This window comes from Homo sapiens, chromosome 3 (assembly GCF_000001405.40).
Source record: "Homo sapiens chromosome 3, GRCh38.p14 Primary Assembly".
Lineage (NCBI taxonomy): Eukaryota > Metazoa > Chordata > Mammalia > Primates > Hominidae > Homo > Homo sapiens.
Genome location: NC_000003.12, coordinates 22,959,597 through 22,962,778, shown reverse-complemented (window position 1 = coordinate 22,962,778; position 3,182 = coordinate 22,959,597). Strand labels below are relative to the sequence as shown.

Sequence of the window (3,182 nt, the reverse complement as noted above, 5' to 3'; positions counted from 1 at the left end):
CTACTTGCAGTAAAAAGTCTTTCTTTTCTCAAAAACCCGGTGTCAGAGTATTGACTTCTAGCGCATCTGGTAGTGAGCTCCTTTGCCACGGTGACACCAATCCCTAATCACCTTCCACAGGCTCCACCTCCTAACACCATCGCATTGGGGATTAGATTTTAACATAGGAATTTTGGGGGGACACGGACATTCAGAGCGTAGCAGGCCATTTGCTTCTGACCCTAAACCCAGCTACATAGAACAAGGTGTCTATTCAGGAAAGAGTGAGGATACAGTTCAGAAAGTAGCAGAGCAGACAGAGAGGGAGAGAGGAAGAGAAAGAGAGAGAGAGAGAGAGAGAGACAGAGAGAGAGAGAAAGAGAGAGAGACAGAGAGAGAGAATGAACATTGATTTCCTGTGGCCCTCTTCATCCTTGCATTTTTTAGTTATGAAAAAATGCTTGCACTAGTTTGAGTTGAATTCCTGTCATTTACACCAGAAAGATCCTGACTGATCTCCTGAACTATGTTGGAGATCATGTTTACACAGTCCATGCAAAACTATAGTTTCAGTGCTGCTGAAAATGGTTTAAATTTTTATATCTTTTTGTATATCACTATTCAGATAATTTAAAATGTTTTTAAATCACGTCATCTGTAGTGACTTGTATATTAATTTCATATTTCTAATATGTTTAAGTTATCCTGTGCTTTAGATATATCATATTCATTATCACTCTTGAGTATTTCTGTTTTCTGTGGTTTTATTCTATTTTTGTTGCAAATATTTTTGCATCTTATGAATCTGTTACTCAAACTAATGCTACCACAAAATTGGTTTCCATTTTTTAGTGACCTATCCCTCTTTTGACAGTAACAGCAAAAAGATGAGATGGCTATGACTGAAATGTTCTATGGTTTATACGTCATAAAGCAATAACACATCATAGAATAATGCTCTATGTTCCCAATATTATGGTTACTTGTTTGCAAGTAACTGCAGGCATTTATGCTTTTTCTTTATGTTACTACCACTCTCATGAGTTGTGACCAGCAACAAAATTCTATAGCAGTCTGCCTTATAGCTATTTCAAAGCAAGTCTTTGTGGTTAAGTACAATTTCCTATAGGAATCACACCCAGGGTAGTCCAGTAGGCTGTGTCAGCAACATGAGCGTGGCATTAGTAGAATTTTAAATGTGTTATTCCACCTTGCATAGTTGTTTATTGTCATTCATGCTCTGGGGTCATTTGTAGGTTTCAAACATTATCCATCAGGATATTCCTACCTGTCCAAGGGAAGGTATCACTACTATGGTGACCTCTGTCTGACTGGCCCCATCAAATTCCCAGATTCTTTATTAGGTGCCAGCCCAACTGCTGCTACTTGGAAATTCTAAATGCACTAGAAGTACATTGGGAATAATAAGTGGAGCTTAGAAGAAAGATACATAGAATTACGGTGGTAGAGGTTTAACTTTATCTGTAGGTAACACAACTTAGCTCTCTCCAGAGCTGAACAGGCTCTTCTCCCTTCTAGCTCATAATATGCATGGAATATCTCATGGCATGAAAGCTTTCTACACATCAAAATGGGTTGAAAATGAGATTTTTTTTTTGAATAAATGTGCCTTCTGAGAGCGATTTTCCAAAGCTGTAATTCTTCTTAACTGAGGGATACAACAGTTAGAAATTCCCTAATGCCCAACTGGTTGGGTTTCTCTCTAATTCAAGTTGTCAGTCACCAACCAATGAACGAATGAAGATAACAATTATTTATATTTGTCTCTTCCACAGAAGATGAATATGTCCTAACTCATTTTTCTACTGAGAAGATGAAATGTAAAGACATGCCTTTTGTTCAGTTGCTGTGGATTTGTTAAATACATTCTTTTATTTGATGAAATTACTTTTGAGGGAAGGCAAAGACCTTATATCTTACTCTAATAATTACCAGATGTTGGCAAGAGTATTACAGGCAGCAACAGGTTTCAGTGAGAATGTAACCATATCATACTATGTATTATGTAGTGCATATATTATATATAAGTATTCATCTGTAATAGCATATCAACTTATTTTTTCAAATGCACTAATTAAACCTCAAGCCCCCATTTTAGGCTTTGCACTTTTGATTAATAAGGACAGTTAAAAAAAAAAAGAAAGAAAGAGAGAAAGAAAAGCTTCCTAGTTGCTATGTGGAAACTGGCATTGCCAAGGAGCTTGCAACCATGCAGCCACAAGGAGGAGCTCAAGCATCAAATTAAAAATTAACACAAACTAATAAATTCTGGCGCGTGCTGCTTTTGGCAATGCGTTAAAACAATATTTATTCTTATATGGAGGCGAGGTGATTTATGGGCCTTTTGCCCAAATTAATATCACTCTGGGGAGCGTATCTTGATACGCTGGTATGTATCAGTATATTTACATAAATATGATAATATAGACGTAATCTATTCTTCACCCAGTAACCAGATGGATCTTTAAAAAATGCTTGAGATAATGCCACTCCCTGTTTAAAAGCCTTCCTATGGCTTCCTTTTATTTTGAGAATAAACTGTGCATTCTCTACCGGGACCTAAGAGGCTCTGCCTCATCTCTTTCCCACAGCCCTTTCTTTTCTTTTCTCTTCTTCTTCTGCTGCTGCTTTTTAAAAAAACTTCAACATTTATTTTAGATTCAAGGGGTACATGTGCAGGTTTGCTAGATGGGTATATTGCATGATGCTGAGGTTTGGGGTACAAATGATCCTATGGCCCAGGTAGTGGGCATAGTACCCAAGGAGGTGAAAGATCCCCACAAGGAGAATGACAAAGCACTCCTGAGAGAAATCAGAAGTGACACAAATGCATGGAAAAGCATTCTATGCTCATGGGTCGGAAGAACCACCCCTTTCGGACTCCATCTCATGCCTCTCTCCCCAGAGACTGACTGTGGTAGCCACATGCCTTCTGATAGGCCCTAGAATGGGTCTTTTCTGGCCTCAGGGACTTCCCACTTCTGTTCCTCTGTCCTTCCAGAGACTTGCATGCCTGCCTCCTACTCATTCTTTGAAATTCAGTTTCAGTGTCACCCTCTAGACAGTCATTTCCTGACATGTACTGAATGTCGGCTGGCCTGCCTTCCCTTCTGCCATTCTTCTCCATCCTTGTTCTCTGTTTATTCCTACTTAGAATTTATCACAAGCTGTACTTCTTTTGT

General features: G+C 38.6%; 1 annotated feature.

Moving 5' to 3' along the window:
• Positions 2,810-2,939: an enhancer, noted in NCBI's record as "active region_19586". NCBI's record gives its function as "activates an Ori minimal core promoter by ATAC-STARR-seq in GM12878 lymphoblastoid cells {active_cell/tissue: GM12878}" and the evidence as "EXISTENCE:reporter gene assay evidence [ECO:0000049][PMID:35858748]".